We start from the raw sequence: 16050 nt of genomic DNA, 5'->3' as shown, positions 1-16050 counted from the left end.
GAGGTCAGGAGTTTGAGACCAGCCTGGCCAACATGGTGAAACCCCATCGATACTAAAAATACAAAAAAAATTAGCCGAGCATGGTGGCATGTGCCTGTAATCCCAGCTACTCGGGAGGCTGAGGCAGTAGAATCGCTTGAACCGGGGAGGCAGAGGTTGCAGTGAGCTGAGATCGCGCCATTGCACTCCAGTCTGGGCAAAAGAGCGAGACTCCGTCTCAAGATGGTGAAACCTGTCTCTACTAAAAATACAAAAAATTAGCCGGGCGTGGTGGCAGGCGCCTGTAATGCCAGCTACTCGGGAGGCTGAGGCAGAGAACTGCTTGAACCCGGGAGGCGGAGGTTGTAGTGAGCCGATATCGCGCCACTGCACTCCAACCTGGGAGACAGAGCGAGACTCCATCTCAAAACAAAAAAGAAAAGAAAAGAAAAAAGAAATAGCACGTGATCATGGGACCCTGCATAGGAACCCCTGAAAGCCCACGGTGACAGAACGGTGGTTATGCCACTTTGTTGAGATCTCTGTTGTTGGGATCATATGCTCTTTTTAAAGATGTTTTTTTGAATCCAAACTGAATACTCTTTTGGTGACTCTGTTATATCATTTTTTTTTTGGTAGAGATGGAGTCTTGCTATGTTGACCGGGCTGGTTCCAAACTCCTGGCTTCAAGCAATCCTCCTGCCTCAGCCTTCCAAAGTGCTATGATTACAGGCGAGAGCACCTGCACCCACCGTCTCTCATATATTATATTATATTTATTTATTATTATTATTATTATTTTTGATGGAGTCTCACTCTGTCACACAGGTTGGAGTGCAGTGGCACAAGCTCAGCTCACTGCAACCTCCACCTCCCAGGTTCAAGCGATTCTCCTGCCCCAGGCCCTTGAGTAGCCGGGATTATAGGTGCACACCACCACACCCGGCTAATTTTTGGATTTTTAGTAGAGACGAGGTTTCACCATGTTGGTCATGTTGGCCAGGCTGGTCTCAAACTCCTAAGCCCAGGTGATCCTTCCACCTCGGACTCCCAAAGTGCTGCCATTGCACTTTCAGCCACTGCGCCCAGACCAGATTGCCCAAAACCATAATTCTGGTGAAAGTTCAGATACTCTGTTTTTTTGTTTTCTGCTTTTTGTTTTGAGACAAGGTCTCTCACTCCAGTTGCCCAGGCTGGAGTGCAATGGCGCGATCTCGGCTCCTGCAACCTCCGCCTCCCGGGTTCAAGCAATTCTCCTGTCTCAGCCTCCTGAGTAGCTGGGATTACAGGTGCGTGCCACCAGGCCCAGCTAATTTTTGTATTTTTAGTAGAGACAGGGTTTCACTATGTTGGTCAGGCTGGTCTCGAACTCCTGACCTCATGATCCGCCCACCTCGGCCTCCCAAAGTGTTGGGATTACAGGCATGAGCCACCGTGCCCAGCCACTTTTTCTTTTGTTTGTTTTCTTTTAAGACAGAGTTTCACTCTGTATCCCATGCTGGAGAGCAGTGGCGTGATCTCGGCTCACTGCAACCTCCGTCTCCCATGTTCAAGCGATTCTCCTGCCTCAGCCTCCTGAGTAGCTAGGATTACAGGCGAGCACCACCACGCCCGGCTAATTTCTGTATTTTTGGTAGAGACGGGATTCTACCATGTTGGTCAGGCTGGTCTCAAACTCCTGACCTTGTAATCTGCCTGCCTCAGCCTCGCAAAGTGCTGGGATTACAGGCATGAGCCAACACATCCAACCACAATGATATTTTTTAATACTGATTATAAAACACTGTTTTTGAATGGTTTTTTGTTTGAATAATTTGAATATTTAGAATCCTGAATAAATGACGACCTTTTCCAGTATGTATGGTTCTTAGAATTCATCCAAAGGTGGGGAAAAAAGACTAAATCCAAGTTATAATTTATTCATAACAATTAATAATGTAGGTGTGATCTAAATAGACCTTCCAGCTCCAGCTCTGCCTTTTGTGTGAGCATCTGGCCGACACAGTAAAACGAATATTCATGTAGCACCAGTTGAAATAAACAGTTTTCTTTGTTGGGGTAGCAGGATTTAGATGAATTTTATCTGCTATTTAGGATTATGTTAACATTGTAGTTGTTTTTTGAAGTTTTAAAATTTAAGTTTTTAAATATAAAGCTCTAAATTTAAGTTGTTAAAAATAAAACCTCCATAGTATTTTCTCTGCCTCCTCCAGGGATTTGGGGAAATCAGATGATATGTAGATGAAAATACTTTATCAACTTGGGTACGTGTTATATAAATATTAGATGGTATTATTTAGCATTCAAAACTTTTTTTAATATGAAAAAAGTCCATGTTTCTTTTCTTTCTTTCTTTCTTTTTTTGAGACAGAGTTTCGCTCTTGTTGCCCAGGCTGGAGTGCAATGGCGTGATCTCAGCTCACCGCAACCTTTGCCTCCCGGGTTCAAGCGATTCTCCTGCCTCAGCGTACCAAGTAGCTGGGATTACAGGCATGCGCCACCATACCCGGCTAATTTTGTATTTTTAGTAGAGACGGGGTTTCTCCGTGTTGGTCAGGCTGATCTCGAGCTCCCAACCTCAGGTGATCCGCCTGCCTCAGTGGGAGAAGGATGAGGAGCAGAAAAAAAATAACTATTAGATAGGCTTAGTACCCAGGTGGCAAAATAATCTATACAACAAACGCTGGTGACACAAGTTTACCTATATAACAAACCTGCATATGTACCCATGAACCTAAAATAAAAGTTAAAAAAGAGAGAGAGAGAGAGAGCGAATACAGTAGTCCCCTCTTATCTGTGGGGGACACATTCCAAGATGGCTAGTGGATGCCTGAAACCTTGGATAATACCAAATCCAATTAGGCACAGGAAGAAATTAACAACAATGATAACAAAATAGAACAAGTATAGCAAGTACTAAGTTAGGCGAATGTGATCCATCTCTCTCTCTCTCTCCTCTTTCTCAAAATAACTTGTACTGTACTCACCCTTCTTCTTCTTGTAATGATGTGAGAATCTATGCCTGAATCTGTGTAACCATCCCTTACTCGCAGTAAATGGCTTGGTGTCAGTTTCAGAGCATCCCTTGCTGAAGTCTTGGTATAGGCTCAAGGCTTTCTGGCGCAACATGTTGCTGTCAATGGGGACACGTTTTCTGTTCATCTCTTCCACCCACAAATGCAGTGCCTGTTCCATCTTAACTAAGCACTTATCACGCACTGTGGCCGTCACTTTAGCAGTTGGAGGTGAGACAGCAAAACTAGCACGAATTTCTTTTTCCTTCTTCACAATTTCACGGATGGAAGATTCATTCTTCCCGTAGATCTTAGCAACCTCAGCATAGGATTTTTTGTCTTTCCTGATTAAGTCGAGAACTTTCACCTTTTCACTTAGAGGAAGCACTTTACGGCTTCTCTTTGGCCTATCCAAATTCCCAGCATCACTACTCTTGTGCTTTGGGGCCATTATGATGGAAAATAAGGGTGATTTGAACACAAACAATGCAATACTTGCAGACAGTTGATCTGATAACCCAGACGGCTCCCAAGTGACTAACGGGTGGGTGGCGTCTACCGTAGTTCCCCCTCTTATCTGCAGTTTCGCTTTCTGCAGTTTCAGTTACCCACGGTCAACCGCGGTCCAAAAATAGCTGAGTTCAGTACAAGAAGATATTTTTGAGAGAGAGGCAGAGACAGACCACAGTCACATAACTTTTATTACGGTATATTGTTATAGATGTTAGAACAATTCCATATATATATATATATATATATATATATATAAAATATAGACAACCTATAGCTTTGCAACATAGTCATAAAATCAAGAGAAGAAAAATCTAGGTTAAATGCTGACAACAAATACCTGCATCCTTCCTTTTCTCTTTTTGTTTCCACCGTGGACCTAACTACCAGTTTCTTGATTCTTTAGCATTTCATTTACCAAGCCTTTCCTCTTTTTCTGGTGAATCATAGCAACCTTTTTTAACCCCTTCAAGACCTGGTGTTTATTACACTTAAGGTAGATGACCCACTTGGGAAAGTTTTCATCAAATAATAAAGGGAATTTTTGAACAGTGGGTTGGAAGGAGGAGGAAAAGCCAATCAGAATGATGCTGTTCAAAAGTGAAATTAACCCACCATCTGGCCAGGCGCGGTGGTTCACACCTGTAATCCCAGCACTTTGGGAGGCCGAGGCGGATGGATCATCTGAGGTCAGGAGTTCAAGAGCAGCCTGGCCAACATGGTGAAACCCTGTCTTTACCAAAAATACAATAATTCGCCGGGCATGGTGGCAGGTGCCTGTAATCCCAGTTACTTGGGAGGCTGAGGCAGGAGAATTGCCTAAACCTGGGAGGTGGAGGTTGCAGTGAGCTGAGATCACGCCACTGCACTCCAGCCTGGGGGACAGAGTGAAACTCTGTATGAAAAAAAGAAAAAAGAAAAAGAAATTAACCCACTATCAAGTACTTTTCATTGTTTTCCCAGCAGTGAGAAAGTGTTAATTATCCATTCCCTTCCCGCTAAACCTAGAGAGGGGGCTGACCACACTCTGGCTTGTACCTGGGGCTGTAGGCTGACTTCATTCATACCAGCCTGCTGTGTTTTCCAATCCCAGATGAGCTCAGACTGACCCGGAGATAATGGAAGAAAGCGAGGGGCACCAATGAGTATCAAGAAAGAATCTGAACACCTACTATATTCTGGAAAGCCTGCAAGACCATCTGTGCTCTCCAGAAACATGTGATTATGGCTGACATGTATTGAGCAGTCCTTGGAGCCACACACCAGGCTCGACACTTAATAGATTATCTCATTGCTTGCTGCCTTTGTGGCAAGTGCTCCGAATGCCCCTCCACCCTCATGCTAAAGAGGCTCAGAAAGGCTCAGTACTCAGCCTGGGATACACAGATGGCACAACCAGATTTTGATCTAAACCTGCTCGGATCCAAAGCCCGAATTCTTAAATACTGTTGTCTATTCGCCAGCAATAACCATCTGATTCAAGCAGATATGACGAATGAATCAAATACAATATACACTCAGGTAAATGTGTCAAGATGGCACAAGAAAGCTAGACACAAAGCAGAAAATTTTTCATGGAGAAAGTAGCATTTGCAGCCAGGTGCGGTGGCTCACGCCTGTAATCCTAGCACTTTGGGAGGCCGAGACGGGCAGATCACAAGGTCAGCAGATGGAGACCATCCTGGCTAACACGGTGAAAACCCGTCTCTACTAAAAATACAAAAAAATTAGCCAGGCATGGTGGCAGGCACCTGTAGTCCCAGCTACTTGGGAGGCTGAGGCAGGAGAATGGCGTGTACCTAGGAGACGGAGCTTGTAGTGAGCCGAGATAGCACCACTGCACTCCAGCCTGGGCAACAGAGCAAGACTCTGTCTCAAAAAAAAGAAAGAAAAGAAAAAAGAAAGTAGCATTTGCAATGAAAAGTAAAGGATGGGTGGATTTTTTAATTAATTAATTATTTATTTATTTTGAGACGAAGTCTCACTCTGTCGCCCAAGCTGGAGTGCAGTTGCATGATCTCAGCTCATTGCAACATCCACCTCCCAGGATCAAGCAATTCTCCTGCCTCAACCCCCACCAAGTAGCGAGGACCACAAGTGTGCACCACCACACTGGGCTAATTTTTTTTTTAAAGACGGAGTCTCGCTCTTGTTGCCCAGGCTGGAGTGCAATGGCGCAATCTCGGCTCACCACAACCTCCACCTCTCGGAATCAAGTGATTCTCCTGCCTCAGCCTCCCAAGTAGCTGGGATTACAGGCATGCACCACCATGCCCGGCTAATGTTGTATTTTTATTACAGACAGGGCTTCTCCATGTTGATCAGGCTGGTCTCGAACTCCTGACCTCAGGTGATCCTCCCACCTCGGCCTCCCAAAGTGCTGGGATTACAGGCGTGAGCCACTGCACCCATCCTAGGATGAATGAATTTTTAAAAAACAAAGTAAGATAAATATGATTTTAATTTTTCTATTTGTTATTATTATTATTTTTTGAGACAGTGTCTGGCTCTGTTACCCAGGCTACAGTGCAGGGGTACAATCACTGCTCACTGTAGCCTCTATCTCTTGGTCCCAAGTGATCCTCCCACCTCAGCCTCCTAAGTAGCTGGGACTACAGGTGCACACCACCACGCCCAGCTAATTTTTGTATTTTTTTGTAGAGACAGGGTCTTGCCATGTTGCCCAGGCTGGTCTGGAACTCCTAGGCTCAAGTGATCTGCCCACCTCAGCCTCCCAAAGTGCTGGGATTATAGGGATGAGCCACCGTGCCTAGCTATGAATGTGATTTTTTTTTTTTTTTTAAGACAGAGTCTCACTCTGTCACCCAGGCTAGAGTGCAGAGGCGCGATCTCGGCCCACTGCAACCTCTGCCTCCCAGGTTCACGCCATTCTCCTGCCTCAGCCTCCCAAGTAGCTGGGACTACAGGCGCCCGCCACCACGCCCGGCTAATTTTTTTATATTTTTAGTGGAGACGGGGTTTCACCGTGTTAGCCAGGATGGTCTCGATCTCCTGACCTCGTGATCCGCCCGCCTGGGCCTCCCAAAGTGCTGGGATTACAGGCTTGAGCCACTGTGCCTGGACGATTTTTTTTTTTTTTTTTTTTTTTTTGAGATTGAGTTTTGCTGTTCTTGCCCAGGCTGGAATGCAATGACATGATCTCAGCTCACTGCAACCTCTGCTACCCGGGTTCAAACGATTCTCTTGCCTCAGCCTCCCGAGTTAGCTGGGATCACAGGCATGCACCACCTGGCTCGGCTAATTTTTTTATTTTTAGTAGAGACGGGGCTTCACCATGTTGGCCAGGCTGATATCGAACACCTGACCTCAGGTCATCTGCCCGCCTCAGCCTCCCAAAGTGTTGGGATTACAGGCGTGAGCCACCGCGCCGGGCCATGAATATGATTTTTAAAAGGGGGAGTGTACTCTCTTAGTCCTCTAGTACCTGTAATCAAAGACATCCTTTCAGGAAACAAACAAACAAAAACCTGTACTGGCACACACACATCCTTTTAATGTGTATAAAAATGAGATCATACTATGCATATTTTTCTAACCAGTCCCCTAATGATGAACATTTAAGTTGTTTCTTTTTTTTTTTTTTCTTTTTTTTTTTTTTTTTGAGACGGAGTTTCGCTCTGTCGCCCAGGCTGGAGTGCAGTGGCGCGATCTCGACTCACTGCAAGCTCCGCCTTCCGGGTTCACACCATTCTCCTGCCTTAGCCTCCCGTGTAGCTGGAACTACAGGAGCGCGCCACCACGCCCGGCTAATTTTTGTATTTTTAGTAGAGATGGGGTTTCACCGTGTTAGCCAGGATGGTCTCGATCTCCTGACCTCGTGATCCGCCCGTCTCGGCCTCCCAAAGTGCTGGGATTACAGGCGTGAGCCACCGCGCCCAGCCTAAGTTGTTTCTTATATTTTTGCAATGTTAATTGGCTTGGCATTCTCTTATATCTTTTTTTTTTTTTTTTAAGACGGAGTCTCACTGTGTCACCCAGTCTGGAGTGCAGTGGCACAATCTCAGCTCATGGCAACCTCTGCCTCCTGAGTTCAAGCAATTCTTGTGCCGTAGCCTCTTGAGTAGCTGAGATTACAGGCATCCGCCACCACACCCAGCTAATTTTTGTATTTTCGTAGAGATAGGGTTTTGCCATGTTGGCCAGGCTAGTCTCAAACTCCTGGGCTCAAGTGATCCTTCCACCTCAGCCTCCCAAAGTGCTGGGATTACAGGGGTGAGCCACGGCATCTGGCAATGAGTATATCTTTTTTTTTTTTTTTTTGAGAGGGAGTCTTGCTCTGTTGCACAGGCTCGAGTGCAGTGGCATGATCTCAGCTCACTGCAAGCTCCGCCTCCCAGGTTCACTCCATTCTCCTGCCTCAGCCTCCCGAGTAGCTGGGACTACAGGTGCCTGCCACCACGCCCAGCTAATTTTGTTTTTGTATTTTTAGTAGAGACGGGGTTTCACTGTGTTAGCCAGGCTGGTCTCAATCTCCTGACCTCGTGATCCGCCCGCCTCGGCCTCCCAAAGTGTGGGGATTACAGGCGTGAGCCACCGCACCCAGCCATCCATGAGTATATCTTTAAAGCAAATTCTTAGCATCAACATTATCAAAGGATCTGTGCACCTAAAATTTTGATACACATTGCCAATTTTCTTTCCAAAAAGATTGGACCACTGTACAATGAACAGGGTATGAAAATGTCCATATCGGCCCAGCGCGGTAGCTCACACCTGTAATCCCAGCACTTTGAGAGGCCGAGGCAGGCGGATCACGAGGTCAAGCGTTAGAGACCAGCCCGGCCAACATGATGAAACTTTGTCTCTACTAAAAATGCAAAAATCAGCCAGGTGTGTTGGTGGGTGCCTGTAATCCCAGCCACTCGGGAGGCTGAGGCAGAAGAATTGCTTGAACCCAGGAGGCAGAGTTTGCAGTGAGTCAATATCATGCTGTTGCACTCCAGCCTAGGTGACAGAGCAAGGCTCTGTCTTAAAAAAAAAAGAAAATAAAAGAGAATGTCCATATCCTCCATACCTTCCCATTTCTGGGGGAAAGTAGCATTTTATAGCAATTCTGACATGTACATTAATTGTGAGCAAAGTTGGGCATCTTTTTATATTTTTATTAACCATTTGCATTTCTGTTTCTGCGAACAATATTCATGATGTCTTTTGCATTTCACAATTTGGTCTTTTGCTTTTTTTGTTTGTTTGTTTTTTGAGACCGAGTTTTGCTCTGTCGCCCACATTGGAGTGCAATGGTGTGATCTCAGCTCACCACAACCTCTGCCTCCTGGGTTCAAGCAATTCTCCTGCCTCAGCCTCCCGAGTAGCTGGGATTACAGGCATGTGCCACCACGCCTGGCTGATTTTGTGTTTTTACTAGAGACTGGGTTTCTCCATGTTGGTCAGGCTGCTCTCGAATTCCCGACCTCAGGTGATCCACCCACCTCAGCCTCCCAAAGTGCTGGGATTACAGGCGTGAGCCACCGCGCCCAGTCCAGGTCTTTTGCTTTTTTCCCTTACTCTCTTGTATAAGCGCTTTATACATGAAAAAAGAAAGGCCCAATGCAGTGGTTCACACCTATAATCCCAGAACTTTGGGAGGCCGAGGTGGGTGGATCACCTGAGGTCAGGAGCTTGAGACCAGCCTGGTGAAACCCCATCTCTACTAAAAATAGGAATATTAGCTGGGTGTGATGGTGCATGCCTGTAATCCTAGCTACTTGGGAGGCTGAGGCAGGAGAATCGCTTGAGCCTGGGAGGCAGAGGCTGCAGTGAGCTGAGGTTGCACCACTGCACTCAGCCTGGGTGATAGAACAAGACCCTATCTTTAAAAAAGCCTTTTGTTTGTTATGTGTAGCTGTTTGTCTTTTGACTTTTTGTGGCTTTTTTTTTTTGAGACAGAGTCTCGTTCTGTTGTCCAGGCTAGAGTGCAGTGGCGTGATCTCAGCTCACTGTAAACTCTGCCTCTTGGGTTCAAGCAATTCTCCTGCCTCAGCCTCCCGAGTAGCTGGGATTACAGGCGCCTGCCACCACGCCCAGCTAATTTTGTATTTTTTTTTAGTAGAAACGGGGTTTCACCATGTTGGCCAGGTTGGTCTCGAACTCCTGACCTCAGGTGATCCTCCCACCTCCGCCTCCCAAAGTGCTGGGATTACAGGCATGAGCCACCGTGCCCGGCCTTTTTTTGTATCGTTATACTGAAGTTTCATTTTTACATAGTGAAACTTACCAATTTTTTTCTTTTTCTGTTTTTTGAGACAGAGTCTCACTCTGTTGCCCAGGCTGGAGTACAATTTTTTTTTTCTTAATGTCTTCGGTGTTAAAAATCAACAGTGAGAAATGCCCTCCCCACCCCAATAATTAGTGTCTCTCTCTCTCTCTCTCTCTCTCTCTCTCTCTCTCTCTCTCTTCCAACACCGAGATCTTTTTCTCTCTCCTGCGTCAGCCTGGCTGTCCAGGGCTATCCTTTTCACGGTGGCTTTAGGGCTGTCCCTCCTGGCCCCAAGCCCTTGCGCCTGCTGTGGCCTTTGGTGGCCTGTGGGCACCTTCCCCCGCCGCTGCCCTCCTCTGAATGGCCACCTCCCAGGGCTCCCTGGCAGCACAGACACTGGTCACTTCCCCTGCAGCCCCAGGCCCTCGGTTTCCAGGTGGCGGAAGTCCTCCTCCGCCCTGCACTCAGAGCCGTGCCCTTCCCCACTGGTTCTGAAATCCCACAAGTATGTGGGGCAAGGGAGTGTTCGGGAGGGTACCCCAGTATGAGGAGGTGGGGGACAGGACCGATGACATTGCTAAATCCTAATGCAATCCCTTCCCTGGGCAGCTGCCGCCCTATGGGGATTTCCATGCATGCAGTTGGCAGACGGAGAGAACGTAAACAGCTTAGAACGAAAGCTCTGTTAAGTCCAGCTGACAATTCTGTTTCCCCTTATAAACTGTGCATGGGGGAAAGGTGCTCTAGTTTTATAGTTCAGTCTGTAGGAGCTTGGTTAGCATGAGTTACCTCCGTAATCCCGATCTCAGTCGTGTTGAGCCAGCCAGCCTGCCTCCATGCGCAACCACAGGGCACTGGAGTAAACCGTGAAAAGGTTTCCCTTTAACTTAATCTCATTCTAACTAGTTGAAGAAAAAGTCTCAGTTTGGTGTGGATTTGTTTTCCTTTTTGCAAAATATACATGACATGAAATTTGCCATTTTAACCTTTTTTTTTTTTTTGAGACGGTGTCTCGCTCTGTCACCCACGCTGGAGTGCAATGGCGTGATCTCAGCTCACTGCAACCTCTGCCTCCAGGGTTTAAGCGATTCTCTTGCCTCAGCCTCCTGAGTAGCTGGGATTATAGGTGCAAGCCACCATGCCCAGCTAATTTTTGTATTTTTAGTAGCAATGGGATTTCACCATGTTGGCCAAGCTGGTCTCGAGCTCCTGACCTCATGATCCGCCCACCTCGGCCTCCCAAAGTGCTGGGATTACAGGCGTGAGTCACCGCGCCCGGTCCCTAATTCTTTTTTTTTTAATTAAAAAAATATTTTTCTAGCCTGGCCAACATAGTAAAACCCCGTCTCTACTAAAAATGCAGAAATTAGCCGGGCATGGTGGTGCACACCTGTAATACCAGCTATTTGAGAGGCTGAGACAGGAGAATCGCTTGAACCCGGAGGTGGAGGTTGCAGTGAGCCGAGATCACGCCACTGTACTCCAGAGTGAGACTCTGTCTCAAAAAAAAAAAAAAAATTGAGATGGGGTCTTACTATGTTGCCCAGACTGGTCTTGATATCCTGGCCTCAAGCAATCCTCCGACTTCAGCCTCCCAAAGTGCTGGGATTACAGGCGTGAGCCACCATGCCCAGCCTCACATGACATTTTTCTTTTTCTTTTTTCTTTTTTTTTTTTGAGACAAAGTCTCTCTCACTCTGTCACCCAGGCTGCAGTGCAGTGCCTCAACCTCCCAAGTAGCTGGGACTGTAGTCCCACCTACAGTCCCACCACGCCTGGCTAATTTTTGTATTTTTAGTAGAGACGGGATTTTACTATGTTGGCTAAGCTGGTCTCAAGCTCCTGACCTCAAGCAATCCTCCCACCTCGGCCTTTCAAAGTTCTGGGATTACAGGCGTGAGTCACTGTGCCCAGCCTCGCATGGTAATTTTATATTTAACTTTTTGAGGAACCATCAAAGTACCACAGTGGCTGCATGATTTTTCCACTCCCACCAGCAATGCGCTAGGGTTCCAGTGTCTCCACATCCTTGTCAATACTTATTTTCTGCTTTTGCTTTTTCCTGTCTGATTGCTATGGGTATGAAAGATATCTCACTGTAATTCTGATTTGCATTACCCTAATAACAGACGAAGTGGAGCATCTTTTGCTCATTGGTCATGTGTGTTTCTTGCCCATTTTGTGAAGGTTGCTTGTCTTTTTATTATTCAGTTATCATAGTTTGTTTGTTTTTTTGAGAGACAGGGTCTCACTCTCTCTCCCATGCTAGAGAGCACTGATGTGATCACAGCTCACTGTAGCCTTGCCCTGGGCTCAAGCACTCCTCCTGCCTCAGCCTCCCAAGTAGCTGAGATTATAGGTTGCCTGCCACAATGCCCAGCTAATTTTTGTATTTTTAACAGAGACGGGGTTTCACCATGTTGGCCAGGCTGGTCTCGAACTCCTGACCTCAGGGGATCCGCCTGCCTTGGCCTCCCAAAGTGCTGGGACTACAGGCATGAGCGGCCACACCTGGCTTGATAATAGATTTAATTCTTATAAAAACCTATATTGCCCGGCGCAGTGGCTCACGCCTGTAATCCCAGCACTTTGGGAGGCTGAGGTGGGCAGATCATGAGGTCAGGAGATCAAGACTATCCTGGCTAACACGGTGAAAACCTGTCTCTACTAAAAATACAAAAAATTAGCCGGGCGTGGTGGCAGGCACCTGTAGTCCCAGCTACTCAAGAGGCTGAGGCAGGATAATGGCGTGAACCCGGAAGGCGGAGCTTGCAGTCAGCCGAGATCGTGCCACTGCACTCCAGCCTAGGCGACAGAGGGAGACTCCGTCTCAAAAAAAAAAAACAAACAAACAAAAAACAAACAAACAAACAAAAAAACAACCTATATCATGTTACTGAGGTAAGGTAAGAGGACTGCCTAAGGTCAGGAGTTAGAGGCTGCAGTGAGCCATGATTGCACCAGTATACTCCAGCCTGGTGCTAGAAACCCTGTCTCAAAAGAAAAATAAAAAATCTACTTGTGCATAAAAAATTTAAAGAGAGGAAAAAAAGAAACTAAAGTAAACTGGCTGGGCGCAGTGGCTCATGCCTGTAATCCCAGCACTTTGGGAGGCCGAGGCGGGCAGATCACGAGGTCAAGAGATTGAGACCATCCTGGCCAACATGGTAAAACCCCGTCTCTATTAAAAATATAAAAATTAGCTTGGCGTGGTGGTGGGTGCCTGTAGTCCCAGCTACTCGGGAGGCTGAGGCAGGAGAATCACTTGAACCCGGGAGGCGGAGGTTGCAGTGAGCTGAGATCATGTCTTTGCACTGTAGCCTGGGCAACAGAGTGAGACGCTGTCTCAAAAATAAATAAATAAATAAATAGAAACTAAAGTAAACTAAAATAAAATAATAAAATATAGGCTAGGCGTGGTGGCTCATGCTGTAATCCCAGCACTTTGGGAGGCAGAGGTGGGAGGATGGCTGGAGCCCAGGAGTTTGAGACCAGCCTGGACAACATAGGGAGATCCTGTCTCCACACACACAAAAAGTGCAAAAAAATTAAAACAGGTGTACTTATTTCCAGATTGCATTGTTCTGGGCCCTACCATGAGGTAAAACATAAGGCACAATTTTATCTCTTCTACTAATGAATTGAAAAGTAGTAAACAAGCAACACTCCTCCCCAACTGAAAGCTTATACTTTGTTTCAAGCAAAGTGAAATGAGCTGTGAACCACCTCCTGACATACTGCAGACACAGGAAATTAAAGATTTTTAAAGAAACCTCACTAGGAAAGTTCATTCCCTGAAAATCAAGTTCTTTTTTTTTCTTTTCTTTTTTTTTGAGACAGAGTCTCACTCTGTCACCCAGGCTGGAGTACAGTGGTGAAATCTAGGCTCACTGCAGCCTCCAACTCCTGGGTTCAAGCAATTCTCGTGCCGCAGCCTCCTGAGTAGCTGGGATTACAGGCGTGCACCACCACGCCTGGCTAATTTTTGTATTTTTAGTAGAGACGGAGTTTCATCATGTTGGCCACGCTGGTCTTTTTTTTGAGATGGAGTCTCGCTCAGTCGCCCAGGGTGGAGTGCAATGGCGCGATCTCGGCTCACTGCAACCTCCGCCTCCTGGGTTCAAGCAATTATCCTGTCTCAGCCTCCTGAGTAGCTGGGACTACAGGCGCGTGCTACTACGCCGGGCTAATTTTTGTATCTTTAGTAGAGACAGGGTTTCACCGTGTTGGCCAGACTGGTCTCAAACTCCTGACCTCATGATCCGCCTGCCTCAGCCTCCCAATGTGCTGGGATTACTAGCGTGAGCCACCGTGCCCGGCCTGGCCATGCTAGTCTTAAACTTCTGGCCTCAAGTGATCCTCTTGCCTTGGCTTCCCAAAGGGATGGGAAAATCAAGTTTTGGCAAACAAAACGAACAAAACTTATTAGCAACAGATATCCGAATACATGAGAAATTTCAGCACTGTTCTAGGCACCAAGGAACCAGGAAAGCCATTACATTTAGAAGCTGACAGGGGGCCGGGTGCAGTGGCTCAATCCCAGCACTTTGGGAGGCCAAGGCGGGTGGATCACCTGAGGTCAGGAGTTTGAGACCAGCCTGGCCAACATGGTGAAACCCTTTCTCTACTGAAAATACAAAAATTAGCCGGGCGTGGTGGCGGATGTCTGTAATCCCAGCTACTTGGGAGGCTGAGGCAGGAGAATGGCTTGAACCTGGGAGACAGAGGTTGCAGTGAGCCAAGACCTCACCATTGCACTCCAACCTGGGCAATAAAAGTGAAACTCAGTTTCAAAAGAAAAAAAAAAGCAGCAGCAGCTGACAAGGAAACTTATGTTTGGTTCTTTACCCACATGTGTGGGGGTTAGGTACTCCAAATGCGAATTTAAGTGAAAATGCAGGCTTGGTATGGTGTGCCTGTAATACCAGCACTTTGGGAGGCCAAGGCAGGAGAATCGCTTGAGGCCCGGAGTTCAAGACCAGCCTGGGCAAGATAGTGAGACCCCTGACCTCTACAAAAAATTTTAAAAATTATCCAGGTGTCGTGGTGCACCCCTGTATTCCCACCTACTCAGAAGGTTGTGGTGGGAGGATCATCTGAGCCCAGGAGTTTGAGGCTGTGGTGAGCTATGATCACAGCACTGGAATCCAGCCTGGGTGACAGAGCGAGACCTTGTCTCAAAAAAAAAAAAAAAAGCAAGCGATGCCAACATAACCCTAGTTTTTTTGTTTTTTGTTTTTTTGTTTTGAGACGGAGTTTCGCTCTGTCGCCCCAGCTGCAGTGCAGTGGCATAATCTCGGCTTGCTGCAACCTCTGTCTCCCGGATTCAAGTGATTGTCCTGCCTCAGCCTCCTGAATAGCTGAGATTACAGGCACGTGCCACCATGCTAGGCTAATTTTTGTAGTTTTAGTAGAGACGAGGTTTCACCATGTTGGCCAGGATGATCTTGAACTCCTGGCCTCAGGTGATCTGCCCACCTCAGCCTCCCAAAGTGCTGGGATTACAGACATGAGCCACCGCGTCCGGCCCTCAACATAAGCCTAGTTAATAAAATCCACTAGATTTTGATAATAAAATACAAAAACAGGCCAGGTACAGTGGCTCACCCCTGTAATCCTGCCACTCTGGGAGGCCGAGGCAGGTGAATCACTTGATGTCTAGAATTCAAGACCAGTCTGGCCAGCATGGCGAAACCCCGTCTCTACTGAAAATACAAAAATTAGCCGGATGTCCCAGCTACTCGGGAGGTGGATGCACGAGAATCGCTTGAACCCAGGAGGCAGACGTTGCAGTGGGCTGAGATCACACCACTGCACTCCAGCCTGGGTGACAGAGACCCTGTCTCAAAAAAGAATAAAAAATAAAAGATAATAACATAATAAAATAAAATAGAGAGACACAGCTGTGACTATTAGCCCACCAAAAAAGTACAAATCCATTGGCCCAATGAATCTTAGATCCATAGCTGGCCATCTATGAGATACGCTAAGGTGTCCTAGATTAGGACCCTCCAGAGCGGACGTGGAATGGGACGGGATAGGCACCTGCCGCACATACTGCGTGATCACCCAGACAGCAGTGGAGAGGAAAGGCAGCTTGTATTCACTCATTCATTCATTCATTCATTCATGTTTCCATCCAAAAAGCCCACTGTTTGTGAGTCTTCCTCTTATATAAGCTCACTAAGGGCGGGGACCAAGCCTCATTCATTGGCCTGGGGCATGCCTAGTGTGGAGCAAGTATTTGGTGTTTGTTGACTGAATGACTGAAGGTGAAGGGGACTTGAGTTGCCCAGGCACAGTGGCTCACACTTGTAATCTCAGCCCTTT

At 46.9% G+C, this 16050-nt stretch overlaps 3 annotated features.

The window, feature by feature from the left end:
• Positions 3346 to 3475: an enhancer, noted in NCBI's record as "active region_26166". NCBI's record gives its function as "activates an Ori minimal core promoter by ATAC-STARR-seq in GM12878 lymphoblastoid cells {active_cell/tissue: GM12878}" and the evidence as "EXISTENCE:reporter gene assay evidence [ECO:0000049][PMID:35858748]".
• Positions 9956 to 10015: a silencer, noted in NCBI's record as "silent region_18284". NCBI's record gives its function as "represses an Ori minimal core promoter by ATAC-STARR-seq in GM12878 lymphoblastoid cells {active_cell/tissue: GM12878}" and the evidence as "EXISTENCE:reporter gene assay evidence [ECO:0000049][PMID:35858748]".
• Positions 10236 to 10315: a silencer, noted in NCBI's record as "silent region_18283". NCBI's record gives its function as "represses an Ori minimal core promoter by ATAC-STARR-seq in GM12878 lymphoblastoid cells {active_cell/tissue: GM12878}" and the evidence as "EXISTENCE:reporter gene assay evidence [ECO:0000049][PMID:35858748]".

This window comes from Homo sapiens, chromosome 7 (assembly GCF_000001405.40).
Source record: "Homo sapiens chromosome 7, GRCh38.p14 Primary Assembly".
NCBI lineage: Eukaryota > Metazoa > Chordata > Mammalia > Primates > Hominidae > Homo > Homo sapiens.
Note: the sequence above shows the minus strand (reverse complement) of the source record. Positions and strands in the feature narration are given on the sequence as shown.